At 36.6% G+C, this 22,741-nt stretch overlaps 1 protein-coding gene across 21 annotated transcripts in view; it reads left to right on the top strand.

Moving 5' to 3' along the window:
• Nucleotides 1-22,741, top strand: part of ZNF385B (zinc finger protein 385B) — a 419,631-nt gene that overhangs the window by 364,235 nt on the left and 32,655 nt on the right. For 17 of the 21 annotated variants that reach the window (NR_148056.2, NR_148058.2, NR_104234.2 and 14 more), the window contains one exon: nt 13,944-14,106. The exons of the other annotated variants lie outside the window; for them this stretch is intronic. Coding sequence is in view for 14 of the 17 variants with exons in the window: in NM_001352816.2 (NP_001339745.1) it covers nt 13,944-14,106 (163 nt within the window). In the remaining 3 variants the exon portion in view is untranslated. The remainder of the gene's footprint in view (nt 1-13,943; nt 14,107-22,741) is intronic. 21 annotated transcript variants of the gene reach the window in all.

Below are 22,741 nucleotides of genomic sequence, written 5' to 3'. Positions count from 1 at the left end.
ATTTATATCTTATTGTACTATGTCTTGAAAAGTTGTTGTAGCTGTTATTTTTCATTGATTCATTGCTTAGTCTTTCTACTTAGGCTAAGAGTAGTTTACATACCACAGTTACAGTGTTATCTTATTCTGTGTTTTTCTGTGTATTTACTATTACAAGTGAGTTTTGTACCTTCACGTGATTATTTATTGTTCATCAATGTCCTTTTCTTTCTGACATACTCTCTTTAGCATTTCTTACAGAATAGGTCTGATCTTGATGAAATACCTCAGCTTTTGTTTGTCTGGGAAAGTCTTTGTTTCTCTGTTTGTTTGTTCATTTGTTTGTTTTTGAGACAGATTCTCACTCTGTTGCCCAGGCTGGAATGCAGTGGTGTGATCTCAGCTCACTGCAACCTCTGCCTCTCAGGTTCAAGTGATTCCTGAGCCTCAGCCTCTCAAGTAGCTGGGATTACAGATTTGCATCACCACACCCAGCTGATTTTTGTGTTTTCAGTAGAGACAAGGTTTTGCCATGTTGGCCAGGCTGGTCTCGAACACCTGGCCTCAAGTGATCCATCCTCCTCAGCCTCCCAAAGTGCTGAGATTACAGGCATGAGCCAACACTCCTGGCCTCTCCATCATGTTTGAAGGATATTTTTGTCAGATAGACTATTCTAGGATAAAAGATTTTTTTCCTTCAGTTCTATAAATATGTCATGCCACTCTTTCCTGGCCTTTAAGATTTCTACTGAAAAGTCTGCTGGCAGATGTATTGGAGCTCTGTTGTATGTGATTTGTTTATTTTCTCTTGCTGCTTTTAGAATCTTTATTTTTAACCTTTGGGACTTTGATTATTAAGTGCCTTGAGGTAGTCTTTTTGGGTTAAATCTACTTGGTGTTCTAAACCTTCTTGTACTTGTATATTGATATCTTTCTCTATGTTTGGGAAGTTCTCTGCTATTATGTCTTTGAATAAACTTTCTATCCCTGTCTCTTTTTCTACCTCCCCTTTAAGGCCAATAACTCTTAGATTTGCCCTTTCGAGGCTATGTTTTTAGATCCTGTGGGTATACTTCATTGTTTTTTTAATTCTTTTTTCTGTTGTCTCCTCTCTCCATGTATTTTCAAATAGCCCATTTTCAAGCTCACTAATTCTTTCTTCTGCTTCATCAATTCTGCTATTAAAGAACTCTGATGAATTCTTCAGAATGCCAGTTGCATTTTTCAGCTCCAGAATTTCTGCTTGATTCCTTTTAATTACTTCAGTCTCTTTGTTAAATTTATCTAATATAATTCTGAATTCCTTCTCTGTGTTGTCTTGAATTTCTTTATGTTTCCTCAACACAGTTACAATTCTGTGTCTGAAACTGTTTTTCTAGGATTGGTGCCTGATGTCTTATTTAGTTCATTTGGTGAAGTCATGTTTTCCTGGATAGTGTTGATACTAATAGATGTTCTTTGGGCATTGAAGAGTTAGGTATTTAGGTAGTCTTCACTGCCTGGGCTTATTTGTAGCCGTCCTTCTTGGGAAGGCTTTGCAGATATTTGAAAGGACTTGGGTATTGTGATCTAAGCTGTAACTGCTTTAGGGGCACCCCAATCCCTATAACGCTGCAGTGCTTGCAGACTCATAGAGGTACCACCTTGATGGTCTTGGACAGGATCTGGGAAGATTCTCTGGATTACCAAGCAGAGACTTGTCCTTTTCCCTTAATTTCTCCCAAACATATAGGGTCTCTCTCCATTCTAAACCACCTAAAGCTGGGGGTAGCATGACAAGCACCCGTGTGGCCACTACCACTGTGACTGTGCTGGGTGAGACCTAGAGCCAGCACAGCACTGGGTCTTACCCAAGGCCTGTTGCAGCCACTCCATGGCTGCTGCCTATGTTTACGCAAGGCCCTGGGGACTTTACAATAAGCCGGTGGCAAAGCCAACCAGGCCTGTTTTCTTCCCTTTAGGGCGGTGAGGTCCCCCAGTTCCCAGGTGGGTCCAGAAGTGCCATCTGTCAGTTGAGTACTAGAGTCAAAAACCTTAGAAGTCTACCTGGTGTTCTATTGTATTGAGGCTGAGCTGGCACACAAACCACAAAATACAGTTCTTCCTTCCTATTTCCAAAAGCAGAGGAGACTCACCTCATAGCCACCACCACCTTAGGCCATGAGGGGTACTGCCAGATTTCTGTCAATGTTCCCTTAAGGCCCAGGATCTCTTAAGTCAGCTTGTCATGAAGGCTGCCTGGCCTGGGACTCACCATTAAAGGCAGTGGGCTCCCCTTCTGGCACAAGGCAGGTCCCGAAATGCTATCCAAGAGTCCAGTCCTGGATCTGGGGACCCCAGGAGTACACGTGGTGCTCTATCCCTCTGTGGCCGTGCTGATATCTAAGGTGCAAGACAAAGTCGCCTTTACTTTTCCCTCTGTTTTTCTCAAGCAGAAGGAATTTTGCCCTGTAGCTACCACACAATAATAAAATAAATATACACAACCACTTTAAAAAATTAGAAAACTTTTTAATTACTCATATGAAATATCTTTAAAACCTATTGCTAAATAGAAAAGGCAAAGTGCAGAACAGCATATGTAGTGTGTAGGCACTTGTCTACAAATAAAAGAAAGAAAAAATACACATATATGTATACATTTGCTTGATAGGCATGTAAACAATCCCTGGCAGGATACACAACAAAGTGATAACAACTGGTTGCTGAATCTAAGAGGTAACTTTTCTCTGCTTTTTTTTTTATACTTTTAACTACGTAATTGTTTTACATAGATTTTTAAAAATACAATTTAAATTTAAAAGAAACAAAAGTAATTGCTAGCTAGCTGAACATAAAATTCCATCAAAATTATGGATGATTTATGTCCAAAAATTGCAGATATGTGAAAAATTATAAATATCCGTTAAGAAAATTATGTTTTTGAAGCCTTTCTGATTGGTCAGTGGGATTTAATTTTGAACCCTTTTCATCTCTTTCCTGGATGAGCCTCCTCTTCTACTTTGCCTCACCCCGAGCCTCTCCACTGTACACACATGGTTGGTTCTCCATACAGCAACCAAAGTGATCCTTTAATAAATGGAAGCCAAACAAGGTTGCTCTTCTGACTTAAAACACCCCTGTGATTCTGCATCTACTCAGAATAAAAATCAAAATCCTTACAATGGATATTTGGTGTTCCCTGAACCTGAAGTACTCTTCTCCCAGATATCTACCTGGTTAACTCCCTTACTTCATTCAGGTCTCTGTGAAAATGCTCTCTCAACAGAGTTTCCTTGATACTTAAAATGGCACGTTACACCATAGTCTACCCCTTACTTGTCTTTATTTTTTTATAGCATTATATAACATGTTCATAGGTGTATCACTTATCTGTTAACACTAATATATATATAAAAATTTATAATTTCTTATCTATGTCCCCATATTAGAACACAAGTTTCAGTAGACCTGTATTCCACAGCACTTAGAATAATGCCTAGAATACAATATGTATTCAATAGATATTTGTTGCATTGAACAATGGATGGACCCTTAGTGTTACATTCCTCCTTTTAGAATGTTTTTCTCCCTCTGCTATATATATATGTATATATACATATATGTATACATATGTGTATATACATATATGTATACATATATGTATATACACATATGTATACATATATGTATATACGTATATGCATATGTGTATACATATATGTATATATGTGTATATGTATATGCATATGCATATACATATATGTATACGCATATGTGTATACATATGCGTATACATATATGTACGTACATATATGTATACGCATATATGTACACATACACATATGTATACGCATATATGTGCATGTACACGTATGTATACGCATATATGTACACACATATGTATACGCATATATGTACACACACGTTTATACATATGTGTACACATGCATATATGTACACACATGTACACATGCATATACGTACATATATGTACACATGCATTTGTGTACATATATGTATGCATACATATATGTGCGCGCGCACACAAACCTACATATATATATACATGCCATATACATGCCATATGTACACATATACATGCCATATGCCTATATATGGTATTCACTTTTGTTATCCTCTACACAAGATTATAAGCTCCTAGAAGTCACAAAGCATGTCTTCTGAAACACCTATTACATGATACATAATAAAACAGTGCTAAATTGAGTTGAATTAAAACAATTCACATTGATGATATCATATATTATATGTATGACTTTTGTTATGACTATTATTGGTGAGTAGAACTTTTAGACAATATCACACAGAATCAGAAAGTGGAAACCCACTAGCATTTGTTGATTCTATTAAAATATTTTAGATTTTATCGGTGAATCAAAGTTATAGATACTATTATTTTAGTTTTGCCTCCAGCAGACCAATCTCTTATATGTGGAAGATTGACCCAATTAATTTTGAATGAAAACTTCTAGTTTAATCTGGCACTTTACTACAGAAACGGCCTTAGCATGACTCAGATGGGCTAAGCGACTACTAAAGATGTGTTTTCATTATTTTCTCTTAGTTATATTGTGTTTTGAAGGTATCTGTTATTAGTCTTCACATTTACATATTCCACTTAATTTTGAATTATAAGATATCTTCTAGGTTTTAGTAATTGGTTTCGGTTTTGGAGTATGAATTTTACAAAAACCTGTTTTGTGAAACAGGTTTTCAAATGAGTAATGATAAATAACTAATATATTAAACATATATAAAATATTACTAATGCTATTTGTCAACCAATTCTCTGAGCATTGAACTTTCAAAGTTACTTTGCCACTTTCATCTACATTAAGGATATTGTTTGTCAAACAAAAGGAGACACAATGTAAATTCTAATTTCAGATTTATTTTGTATTATTTATGTAAATTTCCTTAAAGTGGAAATCAAAGTAAGTGTAATACCTTCTGGACTGATTAAAAATTAATGTGTGGAAGCCTGGGAGCCTAATTTAAAAGACCATCAGAAGACTTGAATCAGTTAGCTATAGAGTCACAGCTTTAATGCATAAACTTGAATTATATTGCATTACTTATCATTGAGTAACAAAAATTGCTCTTATGAAGCACACAATGGCAGTCTGTTTTCCCACTGAAAGATAGCAGTACTCTCAAACACATTAGCAACTTGGGATATAACTGTGAAAACACTATAAACTCTGAAATATCCTCCTTTGTATGTCAAAGTAGCTGAGAATTATCAACTAAGATTTCCCAGTTTAAAATAAGATGTGAATTAATTTGAGGGAGATGGGCAATTTCTATTTTTAAATCCTTTTGGGAAAATCATAAAATAATTCAAAAATAGTAATTACAAATTATAATATTTTGTGTCATATTATAAAATAAAAGATGGCCAGGCATGGTGTTGCACACCTGAATCTCAGCGCTTTAGGAGGGCAAGGCAGTAGGATCACTCGAGACCAGGAGTTTAAGGCCAGCCTGAGCAATATAGCAAGACCTCACCTCTCCAAAAAATTTTTTAAAAATAGCCAGGAATGGTGGCATGTACCTGTACTCCCAGCTACTTGGGAGGCTAAAGCAGGAGGACAGCGTGAGCCCAGGAGTCTGAGGTTGCAGCAAGCTATGATGGCCCCTCTGTACTCCAAGCTGGGTAACAGAGTGAGACCCTGTCTCTAAAATAAATAAATAAGCGAATGAAAAATAAAAGATATTATCCATGTGTTTTATTAAATCTCTAAAGGTCAGAACTTCTAAAAGATGAGGTCCTTATATACATAATTCTTTGAGAAAATTAGATATTTTTATAAATTATAATGGTTCCCATTATTTCATATTTAAGATTATGTTAGTAGACAGAGAACTCATTTTCTCACTCTGGTATAACAAAGAATATAGTTCATCAAGTGCATTATTCATGAAGTTTGTGATTTGCCTCCTCTTATGATTTGAGAGAGTGGCTAAAGGCATGCTTTGCCAGGTTTCATTTACTTCATGTGGCCTCCCTTAAGATGTAGTGCATATACTAAGAGTTTACATATACATTTGTCATTAAATTGACTCAGATATTGATCCCAATCCAGAAGGTGAAGTAAATATACCTCTTAGAAATTCTAAAATTGTAATATAATTTAAATGGAGAGTTAAGCAGTCTTGCTTTCTTAAGCAAGATACTTCTTGATGAATTCTTAAATAAATTGTGATGATGTTAAATTGTGACATTAAATAAAAATCATTTTATTACTCATTACCTATGTTGAAAAATTCATATAAAACTACTTCCATTAGGTTTGTGAGAGAAAAATCTTTTTAAAAATAAAATGTCTATAATTTACAGTATTCATTCATAGAATTAAGGAACTAATCATCTGAGATTAACTTTACCTTGGTATATATATAATAAACTTATTTATAAAAGAAGATGATTTTTCATTATGGCCTGATTTGAAATACAGGAGAGAACTAGAGGAGAGAGAGAGCACAGAATTGAACAAATGGAAAGATTTGTGTTCAGATCACAGTTGATACAGCCAAGCTTAAATAATTGTCTCTCTTATGCGCTGTGCTACTCAACCCCAAACTAGTAACATATAGCATCAGTGAATATCTAGGGGAAGAAATGTAGATTGCTGGGAATCATCTAAATTAATAATCTGCCTTCCAGTAATTGAAAGTGAAATATAAAACTTACTGGGAAAATGAGACAAAATTTTATTCACTTGAAACTCCATTGTAAGAAATGATTTTATTTTTTAAAAGCACTTTTTTTTTTTTACTATATTCCAGCTGATTTTTAACTCAAACTGCAGCACCTTTCTAATTCATCATGTAAATTCTGTTGTAGTTATTTGGTCCATTTATAACTTCTCCATGTTTCTGTGTGTAAGTAATTCCACCAATGAGTCATGGGCAAGAAACATGAGCATCAAGACTGTTGGCTGATGAATAAACACATTTGAAAAATTAATTTCAAGCCCTCTAAAGATCTCAGCATTTTAAGAAGTGAATTTTGCCTACATTGAAGTTTTCTGATAATGTGATTGAACATATATATGTGTGTGTGTGTGTGTGTGTGTTTGTGTGTGTAATGCTCATATATTCAAATAGTGGTATTTCAAAGCAGCCATAACACAAGAATTGTAATTCTATCTTATAATATTGTTAGAATCTAAATTGGGCCCAAAAAGAATTAGCAGTCTAGAGTACACATCATTTTCTTCTTAGAAAGCAACCACTTTCACTTTAGTAACATAGAAATATTTGGAGTTGATGGGTTTATTTACATCTATATTATAAAGCCAATAAATATAGAATGTCATAGGTACAACTCTGGCCTGGCACAATCCAGAAGATACTACGAATGTTGAAATATATGTGAATAGTGCCCTGCAGAGTTATGCAGTGTGATGGCCCTAGACAGGCCATAGCAACTTGTAGCGTTTCACTAGCTATAAATTAGCAATTAGCAAAGACATTATACCTTTTTAAGCTAAAAAGCTCATAATAGTTATAATTTTGTCTGGACTTTGTTTTCAACAATCCCAATAGATGAGAATTGAATGAAGTGAATATCAAAGCCAATAGTATGTCATTACTGATATTGCAGGCCTTACAATTGCAAATATCAGCAGAAAAACTTACTAGCAACCTTTGGATATGTAAGCCTTTCTCTTGGGTATAGCTCATGCTTCCTATATTGTAGCTTTGTCTCTGAGAGTGTGTGATCTTATGAATGCCAGAAATATATGCAGAAAGCATTGTAATAGTAAAAACAGTTTTATCTTGAAACAGTGACTCAAGTAATTATTTATTTCTCAGAAAACTTTAGTTTCTTAGTATGTTTAACTATAGCATTTTAAGTGCCTTGCTTTTATCTCAAATAATTATTAAAGCTTCAATATAAATAACTTAATTAATTTAATGTAAGATTATGGTTTGGAGCAGAGGATAAAATCTGTGATGTAAGAGCAGCATCTTACATCCTAATCATTTTCTATACAAAATGCCTACAAATAGAATATTTGATTTTTAATTGAAAACACTATGGTATGTTTTTGTGGTACAGGGAACCATTTTCAAGGTAGCACAACGTAGCAACCTTTCCCTGTTTTTCCCTTAATATGTCTATTCTAGTGAAACTGAAAAGTGTATGTGCCCAGGAAACACTGTATAATACACAGGACTCAGTGCCCTAGCACATGTTGTTCCCTTTGCCCGTAATACCTTCATCTCCATTCTGCCACTTCGGAGCCCGGCCCTTGCAGCAGAACCCAGCTCTGATACCCTCTTTTCATGGAGCTTCCTTGATTTCCTCAATCTGAAGAGATTTACCTCTCTCCTGATTCTCATATTCTTTGTTTCTTGGTACCTCCCATTTTATAATTCTGCCTTCTGCTTTGGATTATAGTTATTTGTATGCTTGTCTTTTCTTCCAACCACCATTCTGGCAAGTAGGGGTCTTTGTTTTTAATCGTTTACAATATCTAGCCCATGGCAGGTACTAAATAATTTTTTGCAGAATAAATCATCAGGTTTCCCCTTTGTTAGTTTAGCCTGTTTTATGGTCGCTCATTTGACATATGTTTTATTTGGCATTTTAGTATATTGGGTTTTCCTGAAAATTAGCTGACCTTTGCTATTTCCCTTATAACACTGCTTAACACATTGAAATCTAAGGTCTCAGGAAAAAAACAGATGCCAGTAGTTTTAATTATGCACTTTCTTTAATTAAGGGAACAGTTCTAATTACTTTTTAAAATGCAAAAAAAGGTTGGTTCTATTGGTAAATATATAGGTAAGTACTTTCTCCAGGGCCATTGTCTTTCCCCAGTCACTTTGTGAGTTTTTCCTTCGACTGTTTTTTCCATGCAAAGTGAGCACAGTTTAATGTCCTCATTCAAGATTCTAGCCATGTCTCTGAAGTCCAAATTAGAAATAAGGTAAAAATCAGGCCGTGCGCAGTGGCTCTCGCCTGTAATCCCAGCACTTTGGGAGACCGAGGCGGGCGGATCACGAGGTCAGGAGATAGAGACCAGCCTGGCCAACAGGGTGAAACCCCTTCTCTACTAAAATACAAAAAAATTAGCCGGGCGTGGTGGCACATGCCTGTAGTCCCAGCTACTCAGGAGGCTGAAGCAGGGGAATCACTTGAACCCGGGAGGTGGAGGTTGCAGTAAGGCTGAGATTGCACCACTGCACTCCAGCCTGGCAACAGAGTGAGGCTCCGTCTCAAAAAAAAAAGAAAAGAAAAGAAATAAGTAAGGTAAAAATCAGAAATGAGAGCACAGTGAAGTTTAGAAGTTTTTGGGTTACATTTTTGTTTTTGAAGCACTAAGTTATCTCATTCTTTATCTTTTTTGTTTGCAACAATGGGGTTCTAAGAAATTCAGAGGATTTGAGAAAGTGAAGAGCTTTAGCAACAAAGGTTATTAATGGAAGAAAACATTCCAAGTTGTCATTTCCTATCAAAGCTGTTCTTCTTTCAGTGGGTGTCAGGTAATTACCAGAGTGGCCTTCAGAGAAGAACCTATATGCTGATGAATTCTTATGTGAAGGTCAGTGTAGTGGTTTGGGCGACTCTTTCTAATTCTGGCAATTCTTGTGAAGAGGTTTCTTTGGTCACTGCCAGTTAGGGGCACAGCAGCACTTTAGGAGGGGAAGCAGAATGCAAGCCATTACTGCTAGACAAGCATGTGTCTGCTAATTACTCATTGGGTATAAAGTAAGTCAGCTTGGCCAACCTAGTCTCTTAGAAGTGTCACAAGAGCCATTGTTGATGGGCTTGACGTGTGTTGCCTAGTTCATGGGTTTTCTGGCTCCTGTCCTTGTTTCTTTCACTCCTCAATTAAGAAGATTCCTAGATAATGAAGTCAGGTTAATCTTTTGCTACTTAACAGTGTCTCAGTTTCACTTGAAGATTTGCCCAGCATTTAGAAACTGTTGACACTGCCTCAGACACAGTACTAGGGATAGCAAAGTGCCACTACTAAGAATACCACAGGAGAATGGGAAAGATGCCAAATATAAGGAAGTGGCACTTGCCATTCTGTCTTTATTTCACAGTCTTCCACTCCATTTTTCCCAAACAACAGTCAATAAAAGCTAAAAAGCCTTGTTGCACTTCTCTCCCTGACCCTGAACTCGAAGCAGAAGTGGATCATGGCTATGGAGAGTTTTTTCCATCTTGGCCAGTGAAGTGTCACTTAGCTGGATCCTCATCCCAAGTGTTAATTGACGCTGTTAACTTTCGGCACTGATGCCAAGAAATAGTAATGAGGAAATGACACTGTTTATCTTGTACTTGGAGGTTTTATTTAGAGAACCATATGTTTCTTTAGCCAAAGGGCACTAAAGTAACGCTGCACTATTTAGTGTACTGTGAAAGATGAGTTTTTAGCAGGTCTTATGATACGTTGTAGAAATTGTTGTATATTTAAAAAGTTGAACTTTTTTTTGTTTTTTGTTTTTTGTTTTTTTTGAGACGGAGTCTCATTCTGTTGCCCGGGCCAGAGTGCAGTGGCACAATCAGGGCTCACTACAGCCTCGACTTCCCAGGCTCAAGTGATCCACCCACCTCCTCCCCACAAGAAGTTGGGACTACAGGCATGTGCCATCATGTTCAGCTAATTTTTTTGAATTTTGGTAGAAACAAGGTCTCGTAATGTTGCCTAGGCTGATCCCAAACTCCCAAGCTCAGGCGATACTCCTTCCTGGGCCTCCCAAAGTGCCGGGCTTACAGGCACTGCACCTGGCCTAAAAGTGGAACTTTCTTTACTCAACAGAAGGATCAGACCTGGTGTTTAATATTAGCATATTTCCCATGAATTAAGTACGTATTTCCTACTCATAGAAATTTCTATAGGATTAAGTTATAATCCTTCTCTGAGTCATTAAAAGCAGCATGCTATCTTTGTGTATATTTTTTACTTCTAATAAAATTATAACATTAACTTAGTGTAGGTATGTATATGTATAATGTGGGTATATAATTAAATAGGGATATGCTTGTAAGCATTTTATATCTACCATGGCTTCTCCACCCACCTGTGTGGCTTTTTATAAGTTATTTAACTTCTCTATTCCCAGTTTCCCGTTTGTAAAGTGCTGGCCAATAATGCCTATTTCATAGGATATTATAAGGATTAAATGATCTAAAATATGTAATGCATTTAGAATTGTGCCTGAAAGAGTAAGCTCAGTAATATTAATCATTATTATATTATTATACTACATTATCAATTTTTAATTTTTATTTGCATATTTTCTTAATGTATAACTACCAAACTATATTAGTTGGATTCAAACATTCTTGGTTGGTAATAAATAAAGGCCCTAAAATAATGTTACACTTTTCTCCCCACGTGATTATTTTTTTTTCCAACTTGACAGAGAACAACATGAGAAGTCCTTGAGCAAACCAAGTAAGAGCAATGCCAAGTCAATGAAGATCTAAAAAGATATGTATGAAAAGATATTCAGGAAGTTAGGGACCATGTATAGTCAGTAAAAGGCTATAGACCTTGGGTGACCTGGGTTATATGCTAGGGAAATCACTAATATGTCCAAAACCTATCCTTAGATTACACTACTACCAAAGCAATATTTTTTTCCCCAGCCACCTCCCGCCCTACAAGAAATAACACAGCAGAATCAAGGTACACTGAAAAACAGACTGTGGCATGAATCTATCACCAAGCTTCCATTTAAATGGGAGAGCAAATATATAGATATGATGTTTAACTCACTGCATGACCCTTAACACTTGTGACTATATCATCTATAATATTTGGCATGAATAAATTCATCATCATCATTTATAAGCTTAGGATAAAGTAGGCCTATCACCCACCAAGATCTGGAAGTAATGCTGGCATTGAAGTGGTGCTCACCATCACCAGTTCTGCTGAACTAGCTATGGCTGGATGTCTGAAGATAGCAAAGCAACATGTCCTGGTAAGCTGGAGTGAAACAAGCAGGAAAGTCAGAAGAAACACTTCAACAACACACAATAATCAACCTTAGATGGCTTAATCTAATCATGGCATGTTAAAAGAGTGCTTTGTCTCTAGTAGTTAGTAGTGAAATGGTTCCACTTAAGCAAAGGGCAGAAGGAGGATTGATAATAACCAAGGCTTCAAGCAATCAATGATATTATTATAAAAGGGACTTTATTATAGTCATACTCTCCACTAATGATCTTACCAGAAGAATCATATATTCTTTCTGCTGCCTTCCTTTCTGTGTCATCTCTTTTCTCTCATATTCAATCCAACAAACATGTAATAAATAGCTGTTGCAGAAGTCTTCCCCATTTGGAATTTGTGTGTATCATCAGGCCTCTGCTTGAGAATCTCACCTCAGTGGTGACCTTCTCTACATAACTACACATCTAGTTTCCTTAACCTCATGTTGATGATGTTCCACCAAGAGGCCTATGTAAGCACTTCTCCAGCTATAGCCCTCACTGTTCCGGCACTCTAGCGTCAGTACTTTCCTTAGGCCTGCATCCTCCAACTAGAAACGTACTCTTTGCTACTAGTGTATATGCATCCCTTTCCTCAAATCTCAAATCAAAAGTTACCCATTTAGGAAGTCTTCATTAATACCACTCCCCTCTGGTCCATTTTTTTGTTGTCCTGTATCTCCCATAGCATGCATCTTTCGCTGTTTTAGCTTACCCTTGTATATGGATAGCTCTCCATTGAACTTCTTACCTCATGTATGTGTGAAACCTCATTGGACCCTAAAGACAGAGACCCATTCTGTCTGTCCAACTATCGCTTCCAACTACCAACCTACACACACACTTATCACCTGTATTCTGCTTGTTGAGGAGAATGAGTGGAAAGGTTCATTTAATCCTCTTCAAACACATACAAGTATATAAAGAAAACTGATGGTTTTTAAAGTTATTATTTCTTTAGAAATCCTCTAACAAAAGTTCATCTTGCTTTGCATAAGATTTGTCATCCATTTCACTTTATAACTAAGCTAATATACCATTTATGTTTAGTTTTGTTTCTTTTCACTAAATACATGTTTATGTTTTTTCAGAGTCTTTTCAAAATTCAATTCAAGTGAATATATTTAGATTATTTTGTTAATGTATATATTAATACTAGATGCCAATAAGAGAAAAGCCTTGTTGTTTAGGCAGAGGAAAATTTTCCAAATGTCAGTAAGTTGATTAAATGTTTTCAAGGCTTGTTGTAATTTGTTTTTGTGTTTTGTCTTGCTCTTTCTTTTTCCTTTTGATCTAGTACTGAAGTTAGAGTTCTACATATGCTTTGTGTATAAATGAATTTAACACTAACAACTTAGGCTTCAGAATCACATCTGAGATCAGAAACAAGGGTTTTTTCCTACCTCCTTTGTGGCTTACATTATCTGTTCTTGTAACTGGAATCATCAAAATGGTACATGAAGTGCATGTAGAGCTTACCAAAAAATTCAGTGTCATTTTCACTCAGTAGCACCTATTAACATGTTTTATCACACCAGTTGGTCTCAGAGCAGAGCCCAGAAGAAAGTAGACACGTGGCAAACAGGATTTTAGTTGAAGGGAAATGACTGTGGAAGGTCATACCCACAGGCATGGGTAGGACACTCAAAGCCCCTGCTGCCAGCCAATGTTTGAAAAGTAGCCCCAATGGGCACTGGTGGGAGGGCACTGATGACAAAGCTCACCTGTGTCACAGTTTTGCCCTAATCCTTTTGTCCACTCATATAATGTCTGGTTTTTTAAAGATGCAGGTCCTTTGTATTGTATAGGAGGTTTTGATATGCTACACCCTCTTAGGAACTGGTCTACCATTTCATGAAGTGCCAAAAACATAGTCAGGTACTGAGTTGTAAATGTCTGTGGTGCCTATGATAGAATGTATTTTTCTCCTGCATGATCATCCACTGTGGTGTTTGTAATTAGCAAAAAAATGAGCCTGATTTGTTCTCCTTTGTAGAGCCAGGCCGAGGCCCACTACAAAGGAAGTAAACATGCCAAGAAGGTCAAAGCACTAGACGCAACGAAAAATAAACCCAAAATGGTTCCTTCCAAGGACAGCGCAAAGGCTAATCCCAGCTGCTCCATCACTCCAATCACAGGCAACAACTCTGACAAATCAGGTCAATGACACTTTTTGTTCTTTACATTCTTTGTGTTTCTCCTGTTCCCCTGCCCTGACCCCGTTTTCCTGCCCTCAGTTGTTGCATGTTACTCTCCATGATTTGTTTTTGTGATATTAATATGTTTTCTTCACGGGAAGGATTATATGTTTGCACAGAATCTAAGCATTTGATATGTTTCCATTCCATGTTATTAAATATATACGTTTAAGTATATATGTGTATATGTAAATATATATATATATAAGTATATATGCATGAAAACAAGTAGAGACTACTTGATCACAATGTGTTCAGACTAAAATCAGGAAATGGATCTAAAATACTGAGCTTATTACTTCTTTCTATTTATTTTATGTGTGTTTTTTACTATAGACTTTTTTATTGAAGGACTCCTTAAACTTGTTTACTAATAGATATTTTTATGTTCTCTTACTGTAGTAAAAAGGAGTTGAGGAGCCAAAGGGGGGAACTTTCTGAGAGAGTAGCATTACTAAATGAATCTGGAAATGTGCTTAGTAATAAAAGATGATGCTTTTTGAAGATCTTCAGAGTTCCCCTCAGAGTTACAAATGGACTTACATATTTTAAGGGAATGATTTCCAACGTTACAAACTGATTAACAGAAGACCTTTATATATAAATGGAAATGGATTACTAGGTGAAATGCCTCTGAAGAAGAGTCTATATTTCATAGTCCCAGTGAATCGGCAGAATTTCTGAGTAGGTTCATTCAGTGGAAAGAGAAAAAAAATTCATTTTTGTAGCATGGATACCATGAAATTGGATGTTTAATAGGCTTCCACAATTCTCACATCTGCCCCTCTGGGCCCATGACGGATATGTCATCTTGTTTCAGTGACTCTTTGAGGAACAGTGTCTGTTAAAGGAGACTGAGAGAATATGTCCCTTTTTCTTATGTTTGATGTTCTCTTTAGGGGCCTCCCTCTTGTGGGAAACACACACATTTCTGATTCTTTTCTACTTCTCAAATCATTGGAGAATTTTTGAAGGAGACTTAAGACTGCTTTCCCGTGGCTTTTGGAGATGATCAAATCCATTACTGTAAGAGGAAGGTTCAGAAAATCTGTTCAAACAAAGAGACTATGGAAAAAGGGACCATTATTGATTAGGCCCTGTAGATGCTGGCTCCAAAAGCTCTTCAGCGTAGAAGGATTGAGCTAAGCTAAATTTGGTAATAAAGACTTTTTGTTCTTTGTACAATAGGATCACTAAATCATGTTATCTGATGAACAGATATAGTCATAAATGCCAGATTATTACATAGTATGTCTCCCTCTGTAAAGAACAAAACCTTCTGACATATATTATCTAATTAGTCTTTAATCAATATCTATCAGGTATAATATCAAATATTATCTCTATTTTTCAAAATTGCAAACTGGTGAGGTACACAATGTGGCAGTTATTTGCTGGAGGCTACCCAATGTTTGGAAGAGCAGGAGCCTGCTGACTTCTTGCCTGGTTTCGTTTAATGCAGGATATCACTGCCTTTATGGAATAATACTCTGCAAAAGGTTTTGTTATCTAAATTATGCTCTTTACCTTCCAGCAAAACATATAAGTAAAATGATAAAACAATGGAGGTTAGTGCCACTCTATTCTTTCAGCTAATAGAACAGTTGGTAGGTACCATACATGTTACAACGTTGCTACTGAGTGAACTCAGTGTTCCACTTAAGTTATATTATTATTTGAAAATTGGGTTGGCTGTAGGGATAATAGTAAAAGTAATAAGCAGAAAATAGTGTCAAAATCAGAAATAGAGATGGAACAATCAGAGAAGAATCCATTTTTTAAAAAAGCAGATAATTAAAGGGAGAAGGAAAGGTGTGGAAGAAGAGAAAAAAATAGAAAAAAAAAAGTCAAAGATGAGGAGATAAAACCAAGCAAAGAGCAATACGGAAATAGAAAATCGAAATAAAGGGGCCCGGATTATAGTTACAGCATGCCTTATACCTATGAGATGACCAATTTCAATGAGTATATTTTGAAATAAAGTTTAAGGATTCAAGGCTTTCATTCCAATACTCAAATGTTAGCGGGTGCTCAGTAAAACAAAGACACTTTCTAAGCAGTTGTGTTTGCCTACAGAGCATTTGGAAAACACCAGGATAAAGCATACCAGTGGTGTGAACAAGGAACGAGAATTAAGATCTAAAACCCAGGAGAGAGGAAAACAAATCTCAACCACAGCATCTCTTCTTCAGTACCTATGTGGTGGTCTTTCTTCCTGCATTCTCTGCTTCCTCTGCCACTCTTTTACCCACCTCCTAGTACCTGTAGTCTAACAGTATTGATGTCACTCACTTTGTGACTACAGATTTGGACTAGAAGTAATAGAAACCACCTATATTTGGAGGTTATCTCATTTTTCATGTTTCCTTACTCAAAATCTGTATAAATTATTTGGTAACTCATTTGCTGGGCCATTACTTTTTGTTTCTCTGTGTTTGGTATAAGTATTAATACTAACAAAATATTGTATTTGTTCTATTATACTTATAAAAGCTACACCAAAGTCATTGAAAGATGGCACTTAAAAAAAAAAAAGGAGTGCATTTGCTAAATAGATACATGTTCTTTTGTCACCATCAACCATATGTCAGCTTCTAAGCAAGAATTCCCACATGAGTTTTATGGAATTTTCAAGTTGGAAAATTAAAAGCTTTGCCCAGATGGGAAATCTGGTCCAAACAACGTAATACCTAATGTATTGTTAATTGCCTGTTTCTAAATTCTTGAAAAGCTCCCACAGCTTTGTCAGAGTCATAGATTTTTGTTGATATCTGGCTTTCATTTCATTTAAAATCCTGTTTTAGAAAAACACAAGACACAAAAATCAGTGCTTCACAAAAGGTCTAGGTAAAATGTAAGGAGAAAGAAGGTGGGAAGAGGAATGGTGACTGTGATAATTGACTGAAATGTTTTATTTCAGACAATGTTGCTTTAAGGAGTCAGACAAAAATTAGAGTAAAAGTCACAGTGAAAATTCATGGCTCACTTGCAAATCTCATGGGACTGAAATTCCCCAGCATTGGTCTTTTTCTTCTGAATGAAGAGTTCCTGTCAAGTGGGCTTAAGTAGTATCTGTGATTCTCAGATATTTAAATGAAAAGTGAAAATGTTACTCACGTGATGTTTCAGCTGCCAGATTTCAACTATGCAGGCACTCACAACATCCATAGGCTTGACTAATTCCATTTCCATTCTCGCGTTTTAGCATCAGTAGCTGAGCAGCAGAGTTTTGTTTACATTTTGAAAGAGAGGGAATAGCCAGGAGTTAACAGAGGGAGCTTCTGGGAGAGCAGCATTCTGGGAACATCCTTTAAGGCAAGGTGTGATTTCAGGGTATTCAACAAGAAACTTGTGACCCACAGATGAACTTTTTTATTTATTTATTTATTTTTTTGAGACAGAGTCTCGCTCTGTTGCCCAGGCTGGAGTGTAGTGGTGTCATCTTGGCTCACTGCAAACTCTACCTCCCACATTCAAGCAATTCTCATGCCTCAGCCTCCGAGGAGCTGGGATTACAGGTGCCCACCACTAAGCCAGGCTAATTTTTGTATTTTTAGTAGAGTTGGGGTTTCACCATCTTGGCCAGGCTGGTCTTCAACTCCTGACCTCAAGTGATCCGCCTGCCACGGCCTCCTAAAATGCTGGGATTACAGGTATGTGCTACTGTGCCCAGCTGGTGAACTCTTTCTGCTCCTCGAGAGCACACATTATTTATTCTAAGAAGTAATCTAAAAGGCTTCCAAGAGCTAAGGAAGCCCTCTTACCTGCTATTTTGGCACTTGGCACAACCATTTTTCTCTTTTATGTTACTTTTGGAGACATAATTTGGTTCATGTTGTATCCAGATCTGTACAATGCAAAGAGATTTGTTATAATGGAGCTATTGTGTATAAAAATTTCGGGATATCATGGCAAGCTTTCTTTTTTTTCTTTCAGGTCAGTAAACAAAATGGGTTTAAACTATAATAGCATGAATTGCATTTATCATAAGAAGTTCTAACTACATGATTCAAAAAATTAGATATATTTCATTAAAGCTATTCTTCAGTTATGCAAAATAGCTGTCCATTCACTTTTTGGAAGTTGAGGTAGAGTTACATGTAAAATCCAAATAAATGGCTTTATAGTCTCCCAGGATCTGTCCCAACTTTTAATGATGCATCAGAGGAAGTTGGAAACATAATGGGAGGGAGGAAAAATATGCTTTGGGAGAATTGGGGTCAAAACACAGCAAGCATTAGGCAGCTTCAGGAAGATGGCTAGAACATATTGGCCAGACACTCTACCCAAATTTCCCCCTGGAGTTCAAGTGTCATAATGCCATATGACAATACACTTCCCTGTGATAATATGCCCAATACATCAAATTGAAGGCTCTCTTGTGACAGCATTTAACAACTCACACCAGGTTAAAAAAATACAGAGCCTCCAGAAAAATCCTGTTTCTTAAAAATAATAAAATGTTATGAGAGTCAACCTAATAGTCCATATGTCTGGGCTTTCGCATTGGATTTTTTAAAAAAATTAATTAGATATCAATATGAGGAAATGACATTTCTAGTTTAAAGTATGTAAAGCTACTTAGAGCTAAACAGCCTTTAATCAGTTGCTGTCTAAACAGATGAATGCATATAGAATGATTCGAAATGCCACAGATGTATTTATAAATGCAATTAAGAGCAAAGATAATTGAGCCAGCATCTTCTGTTGAAATATAACAATAGAAACACCTTAAATTTGTTCAGCTTACAAGACGCAGTTACATATATGTTTTCACTTGACTTTCTTAACCCTTTGATGGATAGGGCTGAAATTAGTATCCATTGTTTGTTCATTCATGCAACGAACTTGATATCCATTTATTCACTCAACAAATATTGATTATCTATACTAAATAGCATAGTACATATGGGTGCAACAGTGAACAGAAGGACATTTGTCGCCCTCAAAAACTTTCAACCTAGTGATGTTTTTTATTGTCATTGTTGGATATATCGGATTTAAAGAGAAATAATATGTAGTCATCACCTTCAAGCTGCTCCCAAAACTATAGTAACAATGAAGAACCTGGGTTATGGGAAGGTTAGGTGGTTTATGTCAGGTTGCACAACTCAAATCCCAGTAGAGTCAGGATGGAAACTTGGGGTTTCTTGTTTCACGCTTGTTTCATTATTCCAATTACTTCTAAACTTCTGTGACTTGGAGGAGTAAATGCACGTATTCCAATGGGCAAAGGAAGAAACCACTAACCATTTTCTAAATAATTGATGAGTAGGACCATATATGACTTTTAAATTTCTTGCTGACCGTTTTGGTATAAGCTGTGGCAGTGAAGGGACCATCAAGGCTTTGTTTCATTGATAATCCTTAATTTCTATGCGGGACATTATCTGTAGTGTTTCAGTGTAGTAGAAGAAAAGTTTTAGAAGTTACAAATTTCTTCAAGAACAAATTTGAATAACAGCACTCATTTTAGGTAAATGGCAAATGATAAATATTCTCAAAGTTCCTGCTTGACAGTTACAGACTTTACATGTCTAGAGCCAAATGTACTCACTGAAATAGAGGCTAACACTGAGACAGGGCATTGCAGCATGTTAGAAGGCATGCCCTGCCTCCAAAGGGGTACTCTTGAGCTCTCTTGAACACGCTCCCCATTTTCAATGCATTTTGAATCATTTTACCTAAAATATTTCCACTGAGGGCAGGGAGATAGTTTTATTTATCCCACACCCATGCCCTATGGAGACCGTGAGGTAACAGTGTTAGAAAAGACATGAGAAGAAGAGAAAGAAGATAAGACACCTTGAAGCAGCTCATTTTAGTTTTCAGTATATTGTGCTTTTGCATGGTGGCAGTTCTTCAGGTGTAAACCCAGAGTCGTTATCAATGAGTATATCAGTATGATTTGCCTCAAAAGCAGCAGTTTAGCTTTTTGTGGTCACCCTGTTGCCATATGAAAGTGCATTTTCAATTTTGTCTAAGGTTTTTCCACCATAGATACAAATGGAGACCCTCGCCTCATCATTTTTATGGGTTCCCCTGTGTACTTCATAGTTTTTATGTGTTGTTACAAATGGGGCCAAGTTTTCCAATTGACAATTTCTCATTTCTGTTGACTGCCACAGGACTCCATCAGTTAGCCAGCAAGGTCTTCTTAGCTGCCTCCTCACCCTTATCTGCCTCTAGTAACAGGACCTTGTGATGTTGAATGGAAGAAAAATAGTTTTCTGCTTTGGCAGCATCTGTCATTTATAGAAAAGCACCCTCATAAATTTGGCATACATCTATCTAAATCCGAGAGGCCAAAATTTCATATCCTTCATAAAATAATAGATTAACAATATTTATAACATCTTAAGTCTGAAGTTCTGGGGTATAGTCATGTAGAACATAAATGAGTCCCATCTGTCTAAAGAGAACAGACCATTATTCTAAAGCTCATATTTTCATGAAATACACATATATCATTATGACTTTCAAGGTCAACTTAAAAAAATAGAACTGCCTCCATCTTTACCCATGCACCTTGAATTTGACAGTAGCATCCCTCCAGGTAAGGCTGAAGATTCTTAGTAGTTAAATGTTTGTCATCCTCTGGGAACTAACTTCTGAAACTTTACAGCATTTTATATTGCTTTCAAATAATGCTGAACATTTACTGTCAGTTTCTTCACTTTTGAAAGCTATTTTTTAGTGTTGGTCTAAGAAAAGTGAACCAAAAGTTGAGGCTGATTTGTGATTTACTGAGTGTCTGTTAACTTAGGATTTACTGAGGATACATTAAAAACCACTCCAAAAAGCAAAGCCTTAAATTACTTGTTGTTAAAGCTTATATCACTATTAAAAACTTTTTTCACCCTCATTCGAATTTATTTTAACTAGTATTTATCTCTTTTTATTACATTTATATACAACTTTCCTTCCTTAAAAAGATATTGGAATATAAAAGGATTTTGTATGTACATTGAATAATTCTGTAAATGTATAACCATAAATGCCCTTGAGATTTCAACAAAGGTTATTACTTACATTTTTATGACACTCTACTTACTTGCTTCAGGAAGAATTCTCTTACATGACATATTTTTCTGACACAGGTGGATGATCAAATAGAGCTCCTCAATAAATACGTGTATATTCTGTGTGCGAGGCACATGTGGCAGGCATTTTGGGGGATTCTGGGTCCGCTTTTTTTTTTTTTTTTTTTTTTTTTGAGACAGAGGCTCACTCTGTTGCCCAGGCTGGAGTGCAGTGGCATGATCTTGGCTCACTGCAAACTCTGCCTCCCAAATTCAAGTGATTCTCCTGCCTCTGCCTCCCAAGTAGCTGGGATTACAAGTGTGCCCCACCATGTCCAGCTAGTTTTTGTATTTTTAGTAGAGACAGGGTTTACCCATGTTAGCCAGGCTGGTCTCGAACTCCTGACCTCAAGTGATCTGCCCACCTCAGCCTCCCAAAGTGCTTTAGACTTTCGACATGTTTCAGTGAAAAACACTTTAAGCCTTATAGTATAATGCTTAAAGTGTTTTTCAATGAAACATGTGTAAAGTCTGTTCCTCTTCCCTGACTCTTTCCTTGAGGCTCAGGTTCCCTGTTGTGAACACAGGGCATAATATTATGCAGTAATGGATTGGTGCTCTCATTTCTATAGACCAGCACTGTCTAATAAAACATTGTGTGGGCCAGGCATGGTGGCTCACGCCTGTAATCCCAGCACTTTGGAAGGCTGAGGCGGATGGATCACAAGGTCAGGAGTTCAAGACCAGCCTGGCCAATGTGGTGAAACCCTGTCTTTACTAAAAATACAAAAATTAGCTGGGCATGGTGGCGGGCGCCTGTAGTCCCAGCTACTCAGGAGGCTGAGGCAGGAGAATCGCTCAAACCCTAGGAGGTGGAGGTTGCAGTGAGCCGAGTTCGCACCACTGCACTCCAGCCTGGGTAACAGAGCGAGATTCTGTCAAAAAAAAAAAAAAAAAAATTGTGCGATAATGGAAATGGTCTATAATCTGTGTTGTCCAGCATGGCTATGACTAACAGCATGTAACAGCATGTGACTTTTTAGCACTTGAAATGTGCCTCATGTTACTGAGAAAGTCAATATTTCATTGTATTTCATTTCAATTAATTCTAAGTAGCCGCATAAGGCTAGTGGCTACCATATTGTACAACATAACTCTACTCTTTGATACTCCTTGCTCTTTTAACTAGCTGTGATTCCAGAGAAGTTACTCAATTCTCTGAGCCCCTCTTTTCTAATCTGTAAAGTGGAAATAATGCCCTCTCTACTTCACAGCAGTAGGGAGTATGGATATGTTGTATGGATCAAATGAAATGATTGTAAAAGAGGTTTACAAAACATAGATTTTAACAGAAATGCCTGTTATTGATGTTCTCGCAGATTTTTTTTCCTTCCTTTTCCTGTGATGCTTATTTTAGCTACCCTTCTTTCTGTTTTTTGCAAAAGATGACAGCGACACCTTGTAGTGGTCAGCTATCATCATCTTTCATTATGCAGCACCTAATATCCTATATTCTAGAAAAGTAGATCCAAGTTTGTTAGACTTATATGCAAAAAATAATTTTAATAGCAATA

The sequence above is a fragment of the Homo sapiens genome, chromosome 2, assembly GCF_000001405.40.
Source record: "Homo sapiens chromosome 2, GRCh38.p14 Primary Assembly".
NCBI classification, from domain to species: Eukaryota; Metazoa; Chordata; class Mammalia; order Primates; family Hominidae; genus Homo; species Homo sapiens.
Note: the sequence above shows the minus strand (reverse complement) of the source record. Positions and strands in the feature narration are given on the sequence as shown.